Source organism: Homo sapiens, chromosome 21 (genome assembly GCF_000001405.40).
Source record: "Homo sapiens chromosome 21, GRCh38.p14 Primary Assembly".
Lineage (NCBI taxonomy): Eukaryota > Metazoa > Chordata > Mammalia > Primates > Hominidae > Homo > Homo sapiens.
In genome coordinates, this window is record NC_000021.9 from 43,897,733 (window position 1) to 43,919,333 (window position 21,601).

At 49.6% G+C, this 21,601-nt stretch overlaps 1 protein-coding gene across 15 annotated transcripts in view, besides 5 other annotated features; it reads left to right on the top strand.

Annotated features, from left to right (window-relative positions):
* AGPAT3 (1-acylglycerol-3-phosphate O-acyltransferase 3) overlaps positions 1–21,601 on the top strand; it is a 122,370-nt gene that overhangs the window by 32,510 nt on the left and 68,259 nt on the right. For 9 of the 15 annotated variants that reach the window (XM_047440916.1, XM_047440915.1, XM_047440923.1 and 6 more), the window contains one exon: positions 6,225–6,287. The exons of 4 other annotated variants lie outside the window; for them this stretch is intronic. In XM_047440916.1, coding sequence (XP_047296872.1) covers positions 6,225–6,287 — 63 coding nt within the window. Of the gene's footprint in view, positions 1–6,224; positions 6,288–19,055; positions 19,246–21,601 lie in introns of those variants that run through there. 2 more of the 15 variants (NM_001369880.1, XM_017028408.2) reach the window with 1 other exon arrangement.
* Positions 10,640–11,141: an enhancer, noted in NCBI's record as "H3K4me1 hESC enhancer chr21:45328253-45328754 (GRCh37/hg19 assembly coordinates)". NCBI's record gives its function as "activates a minimal SCP1, AML or CMV promoter by ChIP-STARR-seq in primed H9 embryonic stem cells {active_cell/tissue: H9 hESC(primed)}" and the evidence as "EXISTENCE:reporter gene assay evidence [ECO:0000049][PMID:30033119]".
* Positions 18,955–19,505: an enhancer, noted in NCBI's record as "H3K4me1 hESC enhancer chr21:45336568-45337118 (GRCh37/hg19 assembly coordinates)". NCBI's record gives its function as "activates a minimal SCP1, AML or CMV promoter by ChIP-STARR-seq in naive H9 embryonic stem cells {active_cell/tissue: H9 hESC(naive)}" and the evidence as "EXISTENCE:reporter gene assay evidence [ECO:0000049][PMID:30033119]".
* Positions 19,506–20,055: an enhancer, noted in NCBI's record as "H3K4me1 hESC enhancer chr21:45337119-45337668 (GRCh37/hg19 assembly coordinates)". NCBI's record gives its function as "activates a minimal SCP1, AML or CMV promoter by ChIP-STARR-seq in naive H9 embryonic stem cells {active_cell/tissue: H9 hESC(naive)}" and the evidence as "EXISTENCE:reporter gene assay evidence [ECO:0000049][PMID:30033119]".
* Positions 19,578–19,627: an enhancer, noted in NCBI's record as "active region_18556". NCBI's record gives its function as "activates an Ori minimal core promoter by ATAC-STARR-seq in GM12878 lymphoblastoid cells {active_cell/tissue: GM12878}" and the evidence as "EXISTENCE:reporter gene assay evidence [ECO:0000049][PMID:35858748]".
* Positions 20,532–20,581: a silencer, noted in NCBI's record as "silent region_13374". NCBI's record gives its function as "represses an Ori minimal core promoter by ATAC-STARR-seq in GM12878 lymphoblastoid cells {active_cell/tissue: GM12878}" and the evidence as "EXISTENCE:reporter gene assay evidence [ECO:0000049][PMID:35858748]".

Sequence of the window (21,601 nt, forward strand, 5' to 3'; positions counted from 1 at the left end):
CGGGGTGGCAGCCGGGCAGAGGCTGTAATCTTAGCACTTTGGGAGGCCAAGGCAGGCGGCTAGGAGGTGGAGGTTGTAGCGAGCCGAGATCACGCCTCTGCACTCCAGCCTGGGCAACATTGAGTATTGAGTGAGCGAGACTCCGTCTGCAATCCCAGCACCTCGGGAGGCCGAGGCGGGCAGATCACTCGAGGTCAGGAGCTGGAGACCAGCCCGGTCAACACGGCGTCTCCACCAAAAATACAAAAACCAGTCAGGCATGGCGGCGCGCGCCTGCAATCCCAGGCACTCAGCAGGCTGAGGCAGGAGAATCAGGCAGGGAGGTTGCAGCGAGCTGAGATCAGGGCAGTACAGTCCAGCCTCGGTAACAGAGGGAGACCGAAAAAAGAAAGAAGAGGGGAGAGGGGAGAGGGAGAGCGACAGTTGGTTTTTTAAGTCTGACAACTAAAAAAATTTAACTGGATCATTTATTTGGTTTACTTTAAATGTAGCTGCAGATATTTGCGTTGAAATATACCATCTTATATTTTGTTGATTTCTTGGTCTGTGCTGATGTTTTCCTTTCCTTCTCCTTTCTTGCTCTTTTTGAGTCAACTATTGATCCTTTCATTTTCTGCCCTCCACCAGTTTGGATGTTACAGACTCTGTTCTTTTACTGGTTTCCCCACAAGCACAACATTCTTATTAAACGAATCTACAATTAACCTGTACGTTTTACACTCGGGAATATCCAAGGACCTGCAAGCATCCTTACCTTCGTTAATGCCCCTTACAACTAATAGACTGTGTATTTAAATTCTTTTTTTTTCCCCAAGACGGAGTCTTGCTCTGTCGCCCAGGCTGGAGTGCAGTGGGCCAATCTTGGCTCACTGCAGCCTCCGCCTCCTAGGTTCAAGCAATTCTCCTGCCTCAGCCTCCTGAGTAGCTGGGATTACAGGCACCCACCATCATGCCCAGCTAATTTTTGTATTTTTAGTAGAGACGGGGTTTCTCCATGTTGGCCAGGCTGATCTTGAACTCCTGACCTCAGGTGATCAGCCCACCTTGGCCTCCCAAAGTGCTGGTATTACAGGCGTGAGCCACCACACCCAGCCTGTGTATTTAAATTCTTTTTTACTTTTGAATATCACAAGACATTGCTGGATTATTACTGTTTTTTTTTTTGTAGGTACAGGGTTTCACCATGTTGTTCACGCTGGTCTCAAATTCCTGAACTCAAGTGATCCTTGTGCCTTGGCCTCCCAAAGTGTTTGGATTATAGGCGTGAGCCACTCTGCCCGGCCTGATTACATTTTGTGTTAGATTTGCACACACTTGCCGCTCTCTTTCCTTTACGTTTTGCATCTCAGACTTCCCATCTGGGATCTCTTTTTCTCCTTGAAGTGCACGTACATGAGAAATTCCTCTGGTTAGAGTGTGCTGGTGGCGAACCCGCCCCTTGTGTTTGTCCGGAAGCACTAGTTTTCCCTGCCCCTTGGGGGATATGCTTGCTGGTTGCAGAACTCTTGGTTGGCAGTGCCGTTCTTTCAGCACTTTGATGTCAGCCTCTGCTTGGCGTCAGCATCTTTTTGTGTGAAGACATCCTTGTCAGGCCATCTCTCCTTTGAAGGTAGTCTCCCTTTTTTCTCAGGTTGCTTCTAAGATCAAAATTAAAAACCTTTGTGCTACAAAGGACACCATCAAGAAAGGACGACCACAGGAAGGGGGAAGATGTTTGTAAATCACAGATCCGGCCGGGGATGTGCACCCAGAGCCTCTAAAGGTCTCTTAGAAGGTCTGAGCGATTCGTGACCGGATCCCCGGGACGCCCTTGCCCTTACCGAGTGCGTTGGGGAGGGCTGGCAGACAGGGAGGAGGGAGCCCTGCTGCTTGGGCTGGCCGCGGTGAGCAGCGGCAGCGCTGTGGTTCTGGCTCTTGCCTTCCTGCCCTGAGCAGAGCACCCCTCCCATCTGCTCCCCACCGCTGAGGATCACTGGTCCCCCAGGAGGCTTCCCAGGCATCACCTCGTGTGTGTGTGTGCAGCAGCTGCCTCGGCCCCGGTTCTGTTGGGTGTTGAGAGGAGCTTGGGAGAACCCATGACTGGGAGTGGTAGAGATTCGTGACCCAGCCCCGGTGATGCTCTCTTGACCTGCCTAGGTCAAGAAGAAATTGGGAAGAGGCGATGAACTGAGAGGAGGAGTGTCTCAGGTGCTGTCAGTACATGGTCTGCCTTTGGAGCACCGCCTTCTTTTTGCTGATTAAGTGCAGGCTTGCCTTCTAGTTTAACGTGGGCAGGCAAATAGTCCTGCTATTGCATTCTGACATAGAAAATGTACTTTGAGTGAGATGTCTTCATGGAGAGTAAATGATCTGGAGGTAGAAAGAAAAAGGCAAATGCTTTTGTTCTCTTCCAGAGACGGCTGTCAAGCTGGCTCTGCAAGTCAGGCCCTCTGCAGCTGAGGTTCCACTTTAGACATAGGTCAGTGTGTCTTGGAGAGGGAACACCTGTGAGGTCCACTGGAGAAGCCCATTCTGGATGAGTGAAAACCTGGATTTAAAAATGCAAGATTCCAGCTTGCACTTCTAGCCATGGTGGAAGATACAGACCAAATTTCACAGCCTACCTTAATCAACCAGAAAGCCAAACAAAAGTGCATGAAGCCACAGGCTTCAGACACTGGTGGCAGGCCGTGTGGACAGTGACCAGAGAGGGGCATGAGGGAAGTGAGGCCTCAGTAGCCCAGCGTGTCACCTGCAGAGTCTCCAGCCACAGGGCAGGGAGGGGAACCAGGACCTGGTGGAGACAGAGTGTGGAGTTAAGGGGCTCCAGGAAGGCTGGAATGTACAAAGAAAAATATGGAAGAAGAGGGAGTTCCATAAAGAAACAGCTCTGGAGAGCTGAGGAGGGGCCTTCCAGTCTCTGAGAGCTGACCACAGGTGGCATGTGAATGCTGCCCAGGTGAGGGAAAGGGGCGTGGGAGAGCAGGGGTGGCACAGTCCCCGAGTTCACAGGGTGGGGTGAATCTGTGTGCTCAGTGGCCAGAGGGAGAGACTCACCACCCAAGGTTGTCCTACAAAGGTCCGCTCAGGACTCACCAAACAGAGCTTACGAGCGAGATCTGAAAAGATCAAACTGGTTCTAGGTTGACTGCTCCCAGAACAAAGCCCGGAGATGCAGGACAGCAGCAAACCCAGCGTCCAGTGCCAAGTTCACAGGCACCAAGTTCACAGTGCCCAGCAGCCAAGCAAAAGTGACTGCCATACAGAAAACCCAGAAGAAGAGGAAAATCAATGGTTGGAAACATCCAGGCTAGACACTGTAGCCCCCACCTGCAATTCCAGCCCTTTGGGAGGCTGAGGCAGGAGGATCACTTGAGCCCAGGAGTTCAAGACCCTCTGGGGCCACATAGCGAGACCCTGTCTCTAAAAAGATATGTGTTCTTTTGTTTGTTTTAAGAAAATAATTAGCTGGGCATAGTGGTATGCACCTGTAGTGCCAGCTACTCAACGGCAGAGGCAGGAGGATCCCTTGAGCCTGGAGTTCGAGGCTGCAGTGAGCTATGATTATGCCACTGTACTCTAGTCCAGGCAACAGAGTGAAACTCTGTTAAAAAAAAAAAAAAAAAAAGAGAAGAGAAAAGAGAAGGGAAGGGAACTATATCTATCCAGATGATAGAGCTAGCAGGCAAGCATGTTAAGATGGCATTGATAAATATGTTCCACGTGTTCAATCAGGGCAAATATGATAAAAATAAAGAAAAAAATGGAAGATATAAAAAAAAGACCTAGGGCCGGGCGTCATGGCTCATACCTGTAATCCCAGCACTTCTGGAGGCTGAGATGTGAGGATTGTTTGAGCTCAGGAGATCAAGACCACCCTGGACAACCCCATCTGTACAGAAAAGTACAAAAATTAGCTGGGCGTGGTGGTGCACACCTGTGGTCTCAGCTACTTAGGAGGCTGAGGTAGGAGGATGGCTTGAGCCCAGGAAGGTTGAGGCTGCAGTGAGCCATGATCATACCATTGCACTCCAGCCTGGGTGACAGCATGAGACTGTCTCAAAAAGAAAAAAGACCCAAATAAATCTTCTAGAAATGAAAAATATGCTGAATGGGATTAGTGGTAGATTAGACATTGCAGAAGAAAAGATCAGTATACTTGAAGACACAGCACTTTGTAAAATGAAACACAAAGAAAGAAAGACAAAAAAATGAACAGAGCATCAGTGGGACCATATCGAGAGTAACATATGAAACTGATTTCCAGAAAAGAGGCGTGTGTGGTAGAAAATACCTGAAGACAATAATGGCTAGAATTTTTCCAGATCTGATGAAACTCATCCCGAAGAAGCTCAACAAATCTCAAACCGAAGAAACATGAAGGAATTCACCCCAATACACACCATCATCCAATTGCCGAGAATCCTGAAAGTAGACAGAGGCAAATGCTATCACATACAGATGAACAAAGCCAAAAATGAGAGCCGGTTTCTGATCAGAAACTATACAATTTGAAGACAGTGGAGGAATGCCTTTCAAATATCGAAAGACAATATTGGACACCTATCTACAAAAACAATGGCCCTTCACCCTACTTTATGCTATATTTAAAAATTAACCAAAATGGATCATAGACCTAAATGTGAAAGTTAGAACTGTAAGATTAATAGGGGAAAATATGCGATATATACACTGTCTTTGTCAATTTGGGCTGCTATAAAAAAAGTTAACACTGACTGGCTGGCTTAAGTAACAGAAATTTATTTCTCACAGTTCTGGAGGCTGGAAGTCCGAGCTCAAGGTGCCTGTAGGTTTGGTGGCTGGTGAGGGCCTCTTCCTGGTTGTGCCCTCATATGGCAGAGAGATAGGAAGCAGCTGGCCCGTGTCTTTTGGCATAATGGCACCAATCCCATTTTTGAGGCTCCTCCCTCTTGGCCTAATCCCCTGCCAATGGCCCTGTCTCCAAATATCACATTAGCAGGGAGGATTTCGACGTATGAATTTGGACCAGGCATGGTGACTCATACCTCTAGTTCCAGCACTTTGGGAGGGCGAGGCAGGCGGATCACTTGAGCTCAGGAGTTCAAGACCAGCCTAGGCAACATAGTGAAATGCTTTGTCTACAAAAAATTTAAAAAATTATCTGGGCATGGTGGCATGCACCTGTAGTCCTAGCTACTTGGGAGGCTGAGGTGGGAGAATCACTTAAGCCCAGAAGACTGAGGCTGCAGTGAGCGGTGATTGTGCCACGGCGACTCCAGCCTGGGTAACAGAGCGAGATCCTGTCTCAAAAAAAATATGAATTTGTAGCTGGGGGACACAAGCATTCAGTCCATAGTGTCTGTAGTGGAATATTATCCAGCCTGAAATGTGAATGACATTCTGACACCTGCCACCAAGTGGGTGAGCTTTGAGGACATTATACTGAGTGAAATAAGCCAGTCACATAAGGACAAATAGTGTATGATTCCACTTATATGAGGTCCCTAGAGTGGTTAACTCGTAGAGATAGAAAGTGTGATGGTGGGTGCCAGGGGCTAGCGGGGATGGGGAGTAGGTGTTTAATGGAGACAGTGTTTCTGCTTGGGAAGATGAGAAAGTTCTGGAGATGGACAGGGGTGATGATTGCACAGCAGTGGGAATGGACATAAAGCCCCTGAACCACATACCTAAAAATGGTGGATTTTATGTTAGTGGACGTCACCACAATGTAACACAAATGAGCAAACACGGGCTTTTTCCTGGTTGCCGGCAGGCAGGCTAATGGTCTGCTGGCGGGGGCTGGGCTGGGCTGGATTTTGGAGAAGCCCAGGGCTGCGGCTGGCAGGGCTTTGGGAAGCAGCGGGAGCGCATGTAAGGCTGGTGTAGCTGTCGCAGGAGCTGTGGCATCCGGAGGGGCCCATGGTGGCCCCGCCTTTCCAAGAGCCTGCAGGTGGCTGGGTGGCTTTTCCGTGTCCTTCCTGGGGCGTGACCTCTGGCGGCTCCGGGACTGTTCATTTATGAGCCATCTGTTGGGCCTCCTGGCCAGGCAGTGGGAAGCAGCGTGCCAGCAATGCCCTGAATGGCCTTGACCCTGATGTTTAAGTGACGGAGTGTTTGGTTGATCGGGAAAGGATGTTAATGCGTGCTTGTCAGTCTCCCTGACATGCAGCCTTTCGGGTTTTGAAGTGGATGCATATATTTGGTCACACGGCGTCTCTCCAGTCCTGCGCAAGCACGTTGACATGTGTGCCTTTCACTTTCAGGCTTGTCCAGCCGGAAGCCCTGAGGGCAGCTGTTCCCACTGGCTCTGCTGACCTTGTGCCTTGGTAAGTGGGCAGTGAGGCCGCCTGACGCAGGGCGCCGTGTGTGAGAGTGTGTGTGTGTGTGTGTGTGTGTGTGTGTGTGTGTGTATGTGTCCAGTGTTGGGGTCAGCGTTGGGCCTTGATACCTTGTTGATTAATTTTTCTTAAAGGTATATATTTTAACCTTTGCTTATGACCAACAGAATATTTATTACAGTCCCTTCTCATTTGTCCAAAACCCAGATGATAAAGTTCAGGTAACTTTGTTCTCTTCCTGCGAGGGATGAGCTGAGCTCAAAGGGGCTGAGCTACAAATGACGCTGGGCTGAGGCGCCTACCAGGGCACAGCGGACATGGGAGTCACCTCACAGGGCTGCCCCGGCTCTGTTAGCAGCCCAGGAAGTCCACCCCTCTCCTGGAGACCGACTGGGAGCCGTCTGTCTGGGATGGGGCAGAGGTGTGGCCCGGGGACAGCTGCACAATCCCCGTGGGGAGCCCAGCTATCTGTTGCTGGAGGGTGCTCTGCTCCTGGGGGGTCGGTGCCCTGCTCTTGGGGGTTGGTGCCCTGCTCCTGGGGGACGCGCTCCTCAGGAAGCCCTGGGTTTGGTGGAGAGCATGGAATTGCCTGGCCGTTGAGTCACTGGGTGGGCCCAGGGTTGGGGCAGCTCCTCCTGTGCTCCTGCAGCCCGTCGTCATAGGGCCCCTGCCCACTGCTCCCATGTGTTCCACCCCCGTTCCCAGGCCCGCTGCTGTGGCTGATGAGGCTGCAGGTCCCTTCTGGGTGGCCCTGGACCCTGTGTCCTTCTCCCACTGTGGCTGCTTTCTACCCAGGAGGTGTCTCCTCCAAATGCTGTCGGCAGAGATCAAATCCCATCCCTGATGTTCCAAGGCTTCCAGGTGTAACTCACAGGCCCAGTTCTTGGTAGGCAGGTGATTTAGCCTTCTGTGTCCCAGTCACAACCCAGGGTGTGTTGAAAGCTACCATTTGATAAAAACAAACATGAGCAAGATTGAAGTGACCAACACCAAGCTCGGGCTTTCAGAGATGTAGTCATGGCGGACCTCAAACAGCATTGCTGACCATCTGAGCTGGGTGCTGAATGCCTCCATAGTTTTCAAATTAAAATGACTGTATTTAGTGTCTCTTTTTTTAAAAAAAATATTTATTTATTTATTTATTTATTTATTTATTTATTTATTTATTTATTTATTTTGAGACAGTCTGGCTCTGTCGCCCGGGCTGGAGTGCAGTAGAACGATCTCGGCTCACTGCAACCTCCACTTCCCAGGTTCAAATGATTCTCCTGCCTCAGCCCCCTGAGTAGCTGGGACTACAGGCGCCCGCCACCACGTCCGGCTAATTTTTGTATTTTTAGTAGAGATGGGGTTTCACCATGTTGGCCAGGATGGTCTCTATTGCTTGACCTCGTGATCCACCTGCCTCGGCCTCCCAAAGTGCTGGGATTACAGGCGTGAGCCACTGCGCCCGGCCTAGTGTCTCTTTAGGATTGTTTTATTAAGATTGCTTATTTGATAGCAGATAACTATGAAGATACTAACGATACTATAAAGACACAGTGGCAGCTCCCAGCTAACTGGCACTCTGAGCTGTCCTCTAACATTCTGGATTCACAAAAGTTTACTTGCTGGGTTTGCTCATTGTTGATTTAATACTTTGCCTGTGGTTTAAACTGTTAAATTGTTGCAAATTGCTATTCTGTGCAAAAGAAACTTGAACTGTCCTGCACCCCCCAGTTCAGCTCTCACTGCATTCCCGCTCTTCTGCCTGTCCTTTGGCTATTGTTGGACTGTACTCAGGGCTGAGAGGAGGGCATGGGGCTTCTGCAGTCACCACAGGGCTGTGGGAAGGCCACCAGCAAGGGCTGGGGGGCCAGAGGGCTTCTGATCTGTCAGGTGCAGGGTGTGGCGCACGTGGGCTTGTGCTGTGGATGAGGTTTTGCTTCTAGGGGAGAAACCGGCCAAGGCGCGTCAGGCATCAGCAGACCTCTCCCAGAAGGAGGACATTTTGAGAAGATGAAGATGGAAATCGGTTTGATCTCCTTTGTTCCCTTTCTGGGGACAGGGACATCACGGTTCTGTAATAACTGAGGTCTAGGAAAAAGAACAGAAAGAAGGGCAGGTTGGAAACATTGTGTCTTTTGGGGCTAGTAGTAGCTGCAGAACAACCCAAATCCGATTTACAACCAAGCTTCTAGGGTGAGTAACTCGATATTCACCAAACCGGGTGACTGTCAGTGATGGCATGCCACGTATCACTTTTGGGAGGGAGGAGAGGTTGCAAAACTAAGCAGACGGTGTGGCACTGCAGCTCCCCCCCGCCCAAGCTGGTGAGTGTTAATATCGAAATCTATAGCAAAATGTTTGTCCATGACTTGCACCAGTACCTCTCGAAAGGTGCCCAAATACCTAATAAACATCTGAAAAGGCATGCAACTCAATTGGTTATCAGAGAAACGAACTTTTTAAACCAGAAATGTTGTATCACTAGACAGTCAGCAGATTGGCTAAAACCAACGAGACAGATAAGGCCAGAGTTGATGAGGAGGTGGGATGGGGCGTGATGGGACGCTTGTTCCTCATGGTGGCTGTGACCTCACCTCTTAATTTTGGAAAACTTTGGCAATATCTTCTAAAGCGGAGCAAACCCATGGCTTGTGACCCAGCAGCTCTGCTCTGAGGCGTGAACCCACAGCCAGGAGTGTCGCCGGAGCCGTGTTCATCAGGCCTGTGTGCCCTGCGGAGGTGGACTGGGTGAACACACTGCCGGCTACTTGCCCAGGGGAGCAGCATGGAATGAGCTGCGTGGAGACACCCGTGCTCCGCCTGGGCGAGCCGACACACACATGCTGGGTGGAAGAAGCGCAGTGGGTCAGCACATGTGCAAGGCCCTCGTAAGTGCAGCACAGAGACAGGCAGACCTGGCAGGGGGAACAGGAAGGGTAGCTGCCCTGGCAGGAGGCAAAGGAGGCCCAGGGGGCTTCAGGGGCTGGCGAGGGTCTGTTTCTTTTCTTTCTTTTTTTTTTTTTTTTTTTTGAGAGGGGGTCTCTCTCTGTCTCCCAGGCTGGAGCTCAATGACGCGATCTCAGGTCACTTCAGCCTTGAGCTCTCCTGGGCTGAAGGGATCCTCCTGCCTCAGCCTCCCGGTAGCTGGGACCACGGGCATGGGCCACCACACGCGGCTTTTTTATTTTTTGTAGAGACCGGGTTTTGCCATGTTGCCCAGGCTGATCTTGAACTCCTGGGCTCAAGCCCATCTGCCGGCCTCGGCCTCCCAAAGTAGTTGGGATTCGTTTCTTGATCTGGGTGCTGCTGGTCAGAGTGGATCCTCTCTGGAATTTCATCCAGCCGCATGCTGAAGATTTATGTACTTCTCTGTATCTATTACACTTTAACAAAAAGTTTCCCATAAAACTGTGCCATACCAGGTACGGTGGCTCACACCTGTAATCCCAGGACTTTGGGAGGCCGAGGCAGGCGGATCACGAGGTCAGGAGATCGAGACCATCCTGGCTAACACGGTGAAACCCCATCTCTACTAAAAATACAAAAAATTAGCTGGGCGTGGTGGCGGGCACTTGTAGTCCCAGCTACTCGGGAGGCTGAGGCAGGAGAATGGCGTGAACCCGGGAGGCGGAGCTTGTGGTGAGCCGAGATCGCGCCACTGCACTCCAGCCTGGGCGACAGAGCGAGACTCCGTCTCAACAACAACAACAACAAAAAAACCGTTCCATATAAGCTTCCTAAGAGCTTGCGTTTTCGGTTTCATCTGATTCCCTCTGTGAAAAATACGGGCTTCTACAAAACAGCAGACTCAAAAAGCAACAACAACCAAACCCCCAAACCCAGCAGACCGATACCATGTTAAAGCCACACGTTTGTCGATTCCCCTGCTCGGGTGTTTGCGCGCCCTCTCCGTCGCACGGCTCCGTGTGCTGGAGACCCCACGGGACCGAGTAGTCCCCACCCTCGTGGAAGCATGTTCCCGTAATAGCAGAGCAAAGGGATGATGGTCTTCGGAGGAGGGCGCTGGCTCAGGCACCCCAGGGACGCTTTCTCTTTCCGTGTGCTGGAAGACCTGAATGCTTCAGAGCCTAAATTATGTGGGAAAAACGTGTGTGTGTTCCAAAGCTGGAGTGAGATTTCCAAGGCTTGTATGAGGCACTTGGCAAGCTTCACTTGTGCCCTAAAGCACAAAATACCAGGGCTTGGGGTGAATTTGGTGATATCCAGAGCTGGCAGCTTTGTTGGGGCTGGTCACTCCCCAGCCCTGAGGACTCTGGGGAAGGAATGCCTGTCGTGAGCGGAACCAGCCAAGTTCACACATGGCCACCTGCCAACCTGACCTGTGTGTTGAGCCCCGGCCCTTCTCGATCAGAAAGGAGGTGTCCCGATCAGGGGGAGCACATGGGCTGGGAACTTGTGGAACCCGGTGTGTATGACTCGCTCCGTGATTCATAACAAGGCATTTGCTTTCCTGGGCCTTGGTGACCTGTCTGTGAAATGGGCACAGGAGCCCAGCTCTTGCATAGACAGAAGGTGAGGGCATGGGGTAGGGGGAGTGGAGCCGTGGGTGCGGCACTAGAAGGATGAGAAAGGACCTATGGCCTCCAGCTCCGGGTTCAGGGCTGTGTCCAGGTTCAGGGGACTGTGAAATGCCAGCAGCTTCTAAAACCTTTGGGTTCTTTAAGAAAAGGCTAATTGCAGAGGATGCTCACTGATGAGGGCGAGGATCAAAGCCCGTGCTGCGTCAGCGTGGTGGCCTGCCAGCTCCAGGCTGCAAAAGTCCCTCGTCATTTCATTTCCTTCCATCCCTGTGGAGCGAACCCTGTTGTTTGCATTTTTTGGATGAGGGTACAGGCTCAGGCTCAGCTCACACGGTCCCCGGATGCCCCTGCTGTGCTCCGAGGTTGGCCTGCGTCTTTTGCTCCTGGGTCCTTACGTGCCCTGTCACAGCCAGCCCTGCCCTGGAGAGAGAGGCCACTGGGAAAAACCCTGAGAGCAGGCGGGCCTCACCTGAATAGGACTTCATTCGTTGATTTTAATTTTTACTTACTATTTTTTTTCTTTGTACAACAAACATTGTCTGATAAGGGACTTCACTCTTCCAACTTCAAGAAAGGCTCCTCCCGGGTCTGGGTGCTCCAAGGGCCCCATTGGGCCGATCCTCTGACATCACTTGGTGTGGCTTCCTCGGAAGCTACAGGCCCCTCGGTCCATGGCCCCTTCACGGCAGGCAGTGGACTGGCCGGCGGTGGGCCACTCATTTTTCATACACATTTTTTTTTTTTTTTTTTTTTGAGACGGGGTCTCACTCTGTCGCCCAGGCCGGAGTGTGGTGGCGTGATCTCGGCTCACCGCAAGCTCCGTCTCCCGGGTTCACGCCATTCTCCTGCCTCAGCCTCCCGAGTAGCTGGGACTACAGGCGCCTGCCACCATGCCCGGCTAATTTTTTTGTATTTTTAGTAGAGATGGGGTTTCACCGTGTTAGCCAGGATGGTCTCGATCTCCTGACCTCGTGATCCACCTGTCTTGGCCTTCCAAAGTGCTGGGATTCCAGGCATGAGCCACTGTACCCGGCCTTTTCATACACATTTGAAGAGGACTTTAAAGTGTTCTTGAGTCTTTCCTGGATAATGAAAGGTATCCCGACGGTGCTGTTCCATCATATTTGTCTCAGGTCTCGTCTCTCCTTGCTCTGCCCTCGTTGCAGGAGAGCCTGGCTCCCAGGCCTGCAGGCCGGCTGTGGATCTCCGAGAAGCCACTGGGTGGGACTTTGTTCTCTGCTGCAGGGGGAAGCTGTGAGGGAGCACTGGGCCCCCGCCCTGAGCATTAGTACACCGTCCTGCAGGGTCTATCTGAACGCTAGCCCGGTGGGGAGGGGGGCCCAGGCCTCATCATGGAGAGGGTGGTGGTGAGGAGTAAGCCCCCAGGTCTGCACCAGGGTGCCCCAGGACACCCTGGACTGGGAGTTTAGGAGACCTAGGACGCATCCTGGGGAAGTGAGGCAGGTGTGTGGTGTCTTGTTCTTTCCGGGTTAAAACCCACAGCGTGACCCGTGGCTGGGATCCCCCTGTTCGTGAGTTCTCAAGGAAGGGGAGCCTGCAGGGTGTGACTCACACCTATCTCAGGAACACAGAGGACAGAGAGGGATGGAGACGGCCTCCCTCTGTGCTCCTGGCCTCTTTCTGGGGAGTGCGTGTTCAGCCCTGATGGCAGCCAAAGGTTTGTGCCAGGCTGGTCCTGCGCCCGTGAGAGGGTGCTGGTCTGCAGAGATTGGTGACAGATGCCCTGGAGGAGGGGAGTGGAGCCACAGGTGTCTCCCAGCGGCTGTGGCCGCGCGTATTGCCAGCAGCAGTCTAGGGTCCTAATACAGTGAGGTGAAGGAGGAGGTGAAGTGCTAATACAGTGAAGTGAATTAGGTGAAGTCCTAATACAGGTGAATTAGGTGAATTAGTGAATTAGGTGAATACAGGTGAATTAGTCCTAATTAGGTGAATTAAGTGAATTAGGTGAAGTCCTAATACAGTGAGGTGAAGGTGGAGCGGAGGGCCGAGGAGGGCCGGCCTTCCCTCTGGAAGCAAGTGTGCTGTATGCCCACGGGGGACTGGAGGAGGTGGGTGTTCCGGTCACTGCAGTTCTTACATCTTTGCTGTGTGTGGGAGGAGGAATTATCTTTGTGCTCTGAAGTGTGATGTATATGAGGGGAGAGCAAAGGGCTCAGACTTTGATCTGCCAAGCTGTGTCTCGTGAAGTCAGGTATTCTGCAAGGGAAGCTTTTTTCTTAAGAAACAAATCTCATCAGTGTTCAGGACAAGGCTGTACTGTTCCAACCACCGCAGAGATGGAGGGTTGGAGGTTAAGGCGCACAAGTTAATTTTCCATTTGATATTTATGTTTTCATTATAAAAGTAATACATGCCTATGAAAATTAAACACAGAGCCAAATCTAATAAATAATTAAAATTGCATTCTTTACTCCATTCCACATCCCACTCCGTTTCCTGGAGGGAACCACTGTAAGCGGTTTGTGGTTTATCCTTCTAGAGTTTATAAAAAATACACATAAGAACATACATACACCGACAGAGTTTCCAAAAATGCACCTACGTGTCATGACATCTCTCTGCAAAACCTGACTTTAATTTGTCTTGGAAAACTTTTACTACACATAGATCTACTTCATTTAAAGAAACACTTCCTCTTTTATGCATGTTCTAAAGAGATACCTGTAGGCACACACACACATGTGCATTGTAAGAACTGTCCGTGTGATAGTTTTGGAGCACAGTTACCTGATTATCAGTCTACTAGAACCCGAGTGTGCTTTAAAGACTTGAACTGTGTTTGTGTGATTTGGAAAGTGTCCTAGAGCTGCGCTCTTATATTGAGGGGCTGGGCAGGGTCAGAAGCAGCCTGTCCAGGCCAACGCAGCGAGGCCTGTCTGGGAAGATTGCAACACTGGCCCTCACAGCTCCCTGGTCTCTGGGTGACCCCGCCTGGCCCAGATGCCGCCTCGCTGGAAGGCAGACTTTGCCTCCTGCCTGCTCTTTCTTTCTGTCTGTCTGGTGCCGTTCATAAGTTCATAAAGGTGGCAAGGAGGCCCTAGGTGCTCCGTGGCCTGGGCTGCAGACTCCTTTTCCACTCTGGAGCTGCTGTGCTCTGGAACATCCCACACGGGGTTCCTCCCATTGGAACACAGGTAAAGGGCTCTATGCATGCACATTTCTGCGTGTTTTATTGACCGGGTCATCTGTGTTCATTAGCTAGCAGCTCCCCTGCAGTCCTCTGAAGTGCAGGCCAGCAGAGACGGGGGCGGTGGCTTTCGTCTGACCATGCCTAGTCACGAGGCTGCTGTGTGTCTGTGCGTGTGTCTTCTCTCAGACACTGCCTGCCTGGCACCCCCTTACCTCTTGGTGAATGTAATTCAAAGCAAAGGCTGCCCCTGGAGCTTCCAGGCTGGGCCCCAGCGCATCTTGCTCTGCTGGTTTGGCATTAGGTCAGGGGTCCTGGTGGAACTCCACGGACTCATGGGCATGGTGGCACTGGGAGCCTAGAGGTATCTTAGTCGTCCTCACAGGCTCAGCTTGAGCATTGCCGTAAGTGTTCATCTCAACACTTCCATGTGAATTGGAATCAGGAGGTGTGTCCATGGCAACACGTGGGCCCGAGCTGGATGGGACCACTGTGTGCCTTCAGTCCAGCCTGCCAGAGTGGCAGAGGACGATGCCGGGGCCATGGGGCAATCCTGGCACGCGAGCAAAGGGTGGGGCACATGTGAGCCACGTCTCCTTTTATCGTGGCCTTGTCTCCCTTCCTCATCTCTCCCAAGTGAGGATGAATTTCTCCTGAGGAAGGCGCTGGCCATGGCGCAGACCTAGCGAGGATGGCAGGCAGCCCCCGTGGGCACCAGGGGTGCTCTGGCCATGGCCAGGAACTTGTGGATTTTCCGTGCAGATGATTGTGTTATGTCCAAATGATGAAAGCTTGCTTTGTTCTTTCCAATCTTTGTTTCTCTCCTTTACTCGTCCTATGCCAGTGGCTGCAGGAAGTGCCCTGAGGAACGGGGCCTCATGCCTACTTCTTTCTTAATCAGTGGTGCGTGGCCATGGACTTCAGCATCTGCTTTTCCTGAGTCTAAATGCAAATCATCCTGTTGCTTTTCTCCTTTTATCACTTATCGTCAATAGTCCTGTTAATTGGTCTTCTATAGTAAACCATTCCTGTGTCCCGGGATAAACCATATGTGGTCATGATGTTTTGGTAAAGTTCTGGCTGGAGTCAGTTTGCAAATGTTATTTACTGTGGGTATTCCATCGCTGTGCATGCACGAGGCTGGCCTTTAACTACAGGGCACTCTGCCTTGTCCCTGACGGTTGCTGCGGTGCCTCCGGTGTTTGCCCAGCGAGTGAAATGCTGACTGTGGCCTGTGAATGAGCACCTCACTGGAAGTTCAGTGAATGTGTTCTCCTCGGAGAGGCAGACATTGAGGACGTGTAATATTTAGTACTGGCCCCTGCTTTACTGAGTGTTTTTATTGGGAAGCAGGGTTGAATTTTGTTGTGCTGCCTGTCAAGCCTTCTTGTTAAGGAATCAGATGAACTTTGTTAGTCAATTTCCTCATAGCAAACCATCCTTGCATTCATGAAACAGATCCACATGGTCATCATGTATGTGTTGACTTTTTAATGTGCTGTTAGCCCTGTTTGCTAAATTTTAAAGAAATTTTTGCATTCATAGTCATATGAAGAGCAGTGGTTCTCAAACCTATGGGCAGTTTACACTCTTAAAAAATTACTGAGGGCCTGGTGTGGTGGCTCATGCCTATAATCCCAGCACTTTGGGAGGCCGAGGTGAGCTCAGAAGTTTGAGACCAGCCTGGGCAACATGGTGAAACCCCGTCTCTATAAAAAAATACAAAAATTAGCCAGGCATGGTGGTGCACGCCTCTAGTACCAGCTACTTGGGAGGCTGAGATGGGAGGATCACCTGAGCCCCAAAGGTGGAGGTTGCAGTGAGTTGAGATCACCCCACTGCACCCCAGCCTGGGTGACAGAGCGAGACCCTGTCTCAAAAAAAATTATTGAGGACCCCAAAGAGATTTTGCTTTTGAGTTGCGGCTATTGTGGTCCTTAACTGGGGTGACTCCCTTTGTCCCTTGGCGGACATTTGGCAATGGCAGGAGATGTTTTTGGTTGGCAGCTGCTGGGAGACAGTCACTCCTGCATCAAATGCACAGAGACCAGGGAGGCTGCTGAATCCCGCAGGGCACAGCCGGCCCTGCAGCAGAGTTATCCCATCCAAAATGCCAGGAGTACCGAGGTCGAGAGACCTCTAATATGGTGTTGATATACACTAGGTAAGAAATTAACAGTGAGAACATTAAAAAATATTTAATAATTCATTTCAAAGTCCAATGCATACAAAAAAGTATTTTTTTTCCTGTGTCCTGGGATAAACCAGCTTTTGTAAGGAAAACCCATAGTTTCCAAAATTAGTAAGGACAGTGGCCCTGTTTTCTATTTTTATCAGTCTCTTTGATGTCTGACCTCAGAGGCCACGGCTGACGTCTCTCTGCCTCTGCAGGCAGCCTGTTGCTCTGTGTCGTGGTTGAGGCTCATAAAGAAAATTATGCTGCACAAGGCTATGCGCTCATGAAGAAGGCTGTTGGAACCCCCCTGCCTGCGAGGCCTGGGGCCCCCTGGGGTCCTTACGCCACAATTTGAGATGGTGATTTAGACAAATTTCCTTCTTCCCTTCCCTCTGCACTCTTTCTCCTTGTGAATTTTATGTCAGTGTTGCTTCATTAAAGGGATTGGGACGTCTTCCTTCTTTATGTTCTGGGAAAGTTTAATTAATGTTAAAATAGTCTATTCTTATAGGATTTGTAGAATTCACTTGTGAAATCATCTGCCTTTGGTACTTTTGTTAGAGGTAAATTTTAAAAAACTGTTTAATAGATATTTTAATTATTTTTATTTAAAAATTTTTTAAAATATGAGATTCCATGTAGAGGTTTTTTTTGTTTTGTTTTGTTTTGTTTTGTTTTGTTTTAGAGCTGAAGTCTCAATCTCTTCCCAGGCTGGAGTGCAGTGGTGCGATCTTGGCTCACTGCAGCCTCGAACTCTTGGGCTCAAGCAGTCCTCCTGCCTCAGCCTCCCAAGTGGCTGGTGTGCCCCACCACGCCCAACTAATTTTTAAATTTGTTGTAGGGATGGGGGTCTTTCCATGTTGCCCAGGCTGGTTTCGAACTCCTGGTCTCAAGTGATCCTCACAGCTCGGCCTCCCAAAGCACTGTTATCACAGGCCTGAGCCACCGTGCCCAGTACTCAGATATTTTAATTCTGTAAAAACAAGTCTTTCTTAATTCTATAAAATTCTATAAAGATAGTTCTGTTTAAACTATCTTTTCCATGGCCACACTTTATAATTAATTTTTCTCCTAGTAAATTATCCATTTTATCTAGATTTCAAAATTTATTTGCATAGAGATATGCAATTATTTCTGTGAGTTTTTAAAAAATGTATTTTATTTTGATGATTATTTCCTCTTTTGTTTTTTTGAGATGGAGTCTTCCTCTGTCACCCAGGCTGGAGTGCAGTGATGCAGTCTTGGCTCACTGCAACCTCCAAGTTCAAGTGATTCTCCTGCCTCAGCCTCCCGAGTAGCTGGGATTACAGGTGCGCGCCACCATGCCCGGCTAATTTTTGTATTTTTAGTAGAGATGGGATTTTACCATGTTGGCCAGGCTGGTCTCAAACTCCTGAGCTCAAGCAGTCCGCCCTCCTCAACTTCCCAAAGTGCTGGGATTACAGGCATGAGCCACTGCGCCTGCCCCCCAGCCCTGTTTTCTTATTTTGTATATTTTTATTCTCCATTTTCTTGATTAGCTTTTTTTTTTTTTTTTTTTTTTTTTTGCGACAGTCTGGTTCTGTTGCCCAGGCTGGAGTGCAGTGGTGCGATCTCGGGTCACTGTAACCTCCGCCTCCCAGGTTCAAGCGATTCTCCTGCCTCAGCCTCCTGAGTAGCTGGGATTACAGGCATGCACCACCATGCCTGGCTAATTTTTGTATTTTTAGTAGAGACGGGGTTTCTCCATGTTGGCCAGGCTGCTCTTGAACTCCTGACCTCAAGTGATCCACCCGCGTTGGTCTCCCAGAGTGCTGGGATTACAGGCGTGAGCTACTGTGCTGGGCCTTGATTAGCTTTTTTTAAAAACTGCTATAAGTAGCTTACTGTTTTGTTGATTTAAAAAAAATTTCAATTTAGCTATTAAGATTAAAAAAAATTTTTTTCCTTTTATATTTATTAATTCCTTCAGTTACTTTGTAATTTTCAACTTTTTAAGTTGGAGGCTTCATTCATTCTCTTACTGTCTTGCTTTCATTTCTAAAGATGTAAAGTAATCAATGGGTTAAATTTTCCTCTAAAGCACTGCTTTAGTTTTATTAGTATGGTTTCTAAAAATTCTTCAGTTTTTACTTCTATTTTCCCTTTAAGAGGAATATCTAAGAAGATAATGTTTAAATTTCAGTGTAGAAAACCCTGTTTTCTGATTTTGTTACTAATTTCTAGGGAATATTGTTTGTATTTTAATTATTACTTGGTATTGGTTGAAAATTTCTTTGCTGCTTAATATATGGGTGCTGTTTATGAATGTTTCCATGGGATACTGAAAAAAGAAAGGTGTGTTCTCTCTTACCAAGTACAGAATTGCCTCTTTCTCCTTATGCACTGCTTCTTTAATTTTGTTGTTTATATGTCTGACAGCCTTGTGTGCTTATTTCTTGCCCGCGTGTTCTGTCTCGGGTTGGAAGGGACACGCACGTCTCCTGCCTTCACATGCTGAGATGGGTTTCTGTAGCATCCCCAGAATTTCTGCTGAATGAAGTGTGTCGGGTTATTTGGTACGAACATATCGAATGACTATATCTGCTCTAAGAATTTTAGTTTTAGCGTTATATTCCTGATGTCTCATTTATTTCATTTGGCCTGATATTTTATTGTCTAATATCAAGATATTGAACCCTTTTTTTTTTTTTTGCATTTTTCCAGTATATATTTATTTCATGTATTTTTAACTCTGCTGAATTTCTCTGTTTTAGGTCTTTCTCTTCTATCTGCAGAGTTGGGGTTTGTTTTAAGCCAGTGCGAATGTTGTCCTTTTAGTAGGTGATTGGAGGCTTTTTGTATCGGTAGATATGATTGGTGTGTTTGGACCAGGGCTGTGGTCATTTTGTGTATTTTAGGGAGTTGCAGATAAAATACATGCACGTTCGCACACACAGCACAGACGCCTGCATCTTCCCATGCGTGGTTTCTGCTCTTGCCTCTCTGGGTTTTTGTTTCACTTCGGTCGAGTTTTTGGTGGTGTTGAGCGGATAGCCGGGGAAGTTGGAGTCTTGTTTGTGGCCGCCTCGTGCTCGTGTCTGTATCTAAGATCCTCAGGCTGCTCCTTTTTGGGTAAGGTCTGTTGCTTCTCTAGGAACAGTGACGGTGGCAGAGCCCGTGGCCCCTCTCTCCTGTCCCAGAGCCAAGCTGTTTCCTCTCCCCACTCCCGGGCACCCTGCGGGCAAGTGAGGGGGGCCCACTCTGCCCTGGCCTGCCCCACCGCCCCATTTGCTGGGTTGTCCTCAAAGCACACGGTAAGCACCCCCGCCCCCGCCCCCCACACACGTACCGCTGTCAGCCTTCTTGCTCGTCACCTCCATCCAGGGCACATCCGCCCCTCTGGGTGCTGTGAGCCTGTTGCCGGCGCGGTCCCGCTGCTCCTCCTTCTGCTGCCCTGCACTGCCGTGGCACAACCCTCCCTCCGGGTCTCTGCTGAGCCCTCCAGGCGCTCAGGTCTGCCGTCTGGTTGCAGGTGTTTTATAGAGTGCAGCTTTACGCTCCCACTCCAGTCATCTCCACGTTGGTGTCCGTCTGTGTGTCCTCTCTGCCTTTAAGTTCTGCCTCTGTGTGACACAGTTTCACAGTTTCTGTGACCAAAACACAGGTTTAGTCGCTTGCTGCTGGCAGAGTCCAATTAACAAGAGCACGTCGGGTATAAAGAAAGTGACTTTATTCCAAAGCTAGCTTAGGGGAAGAGGTAAAGTGAGGGTACCACTTTGCTTTTGGAGCAGAAAGTGGGAACTTTTAAAGGTGGGGGGATGTGTGGCACACAGGGGAGGAGGCTGGCAGGTGGGGGTCCGCATAACTCGTTTCGCTGCCTTATCTACCGGGTGGTCGAGTTGGCATCTTCCCCGGCAGAACTGTGTTGGGGTGTTGTGGGTATTGTGGGTATTGTGGGGGTTGTGTTGTGGGTGTTGTGGGGGTTGTGGGTGTTGTGTTGTGGGTGTTGTAGGAGTTGTGAGTGTTGTGGGGGTTGTGGGGGTTGTAGGGGTTGCGGGTGTTGTGGGTGTTGTAGGGGGTGTGGGTGTTGTGGGTGTTGTGGGGGTTGTAGGGGGTGTGGGTGTTGGGGGTGTTGTGTTATGGGTGTTGTGGGGGTTGTGGGTGTTGTGGATGTTGGTGTTGTAGGGGTTGTTGGTGTTGTGGGGGTTGTGGGTGTTGGGGTTGTGGGTGTTGTGGGTGTTGTGGGTGTTGTGTTGTGGGTGTTGTGTTATGGGTGTTGTGGGGGTTGTGGGTGTTGGAGTTGTGGGTGTTGTGGGAGTTGTGGGTGTTGTGGGAGTTGTGGGTGTTGGGTTGTGGAGGTTGTGGGTGTTGCGGCGGTTGTGGGTGTTGTGGGTGTTGTAGGTGGCCAGAACTTTCCAGGTGGAGAGAGTTAGTTCATAACAGCACTTTGGGTGTGGATCAATTGTTGTCTCTAGAGGTAGCCACCTGGTGGCTGAGGGTTCCCCTGGAGCTCCTGAGCACATGGTTAGGTGAGCTTGCCCCATCGGCAGTGTCCAGTGAATGGAAGGGAAAAGGGTATAATTGCATTTCTAAAGGGCTATGTAGGAAGTGGGGAACAGGGGGAAATGGAGACAAGAGAAGAGAAGAGATAAAAATAATTTAGAAACAGAAAAATGGGGGACACTTGGTTACATTTTAGCTTTGTGTGTCTCTGTAAATCTAGCAATCTGGCAGACTGCTGGCTTTTTTTTTTTTTTTTGAGACTGACTCTTGCTCTGCCACCCAGGCTGAAGTGCAGTGGTACGATCTTGGCTCACCGCAATCTCCGTCTCCCGGGTTCCAGTGATTCTCCTCCTGAGTAGCTGGAATTACAGGCGTGCGCCACCACGCCCAGCTAATTTTTCTATTTTTAGTAGAGATGGGGTTTCACCATGTTAGCCAGGCTGGTCTTGAACTCCTGGCCTCAAGCCATCTGCATGGCTCAGCCTCCCAAAGTGCTGGGATTACAGGTGTGAGCTACCCCTGCCGGCTGACAGCTAAATTTTTAAATGCTGTTTATACTTGTGATTACTTATGTGTTTAACTTTTTTTTCTTTTTTTGTCTTAACTTTCTACTTTACCATCACCATCGTTATTACTTAACATTCTTTTCCTTCACTTTCCTGCCTGCTCTGAGACTGGGTGAAGTTTGTTTTTATTTCCTGTTTCTCCTACTGCAGAAGTCACACATCTGTCCATCATTTATATTCTTGGAGTGTCGTCCTTAAATGTTAGGATGCATGCTTGATGTCACAAAAGTTTACCGGTGTCTCTATTTTCTTTTTTTTTAAACTTCACTAGTGTGTGGGGTACAGGTGGATTTTGGTTATGCGGACAGGTTCTTTAGTGGCGAATTCTGAGATTTTAGTGCACCTGTCACCCGAGCAGTGGTACACTGGACCCAATATAGAGTCTCTATCCCTCACCCCCTTCCCAATTTCCCTGTCCA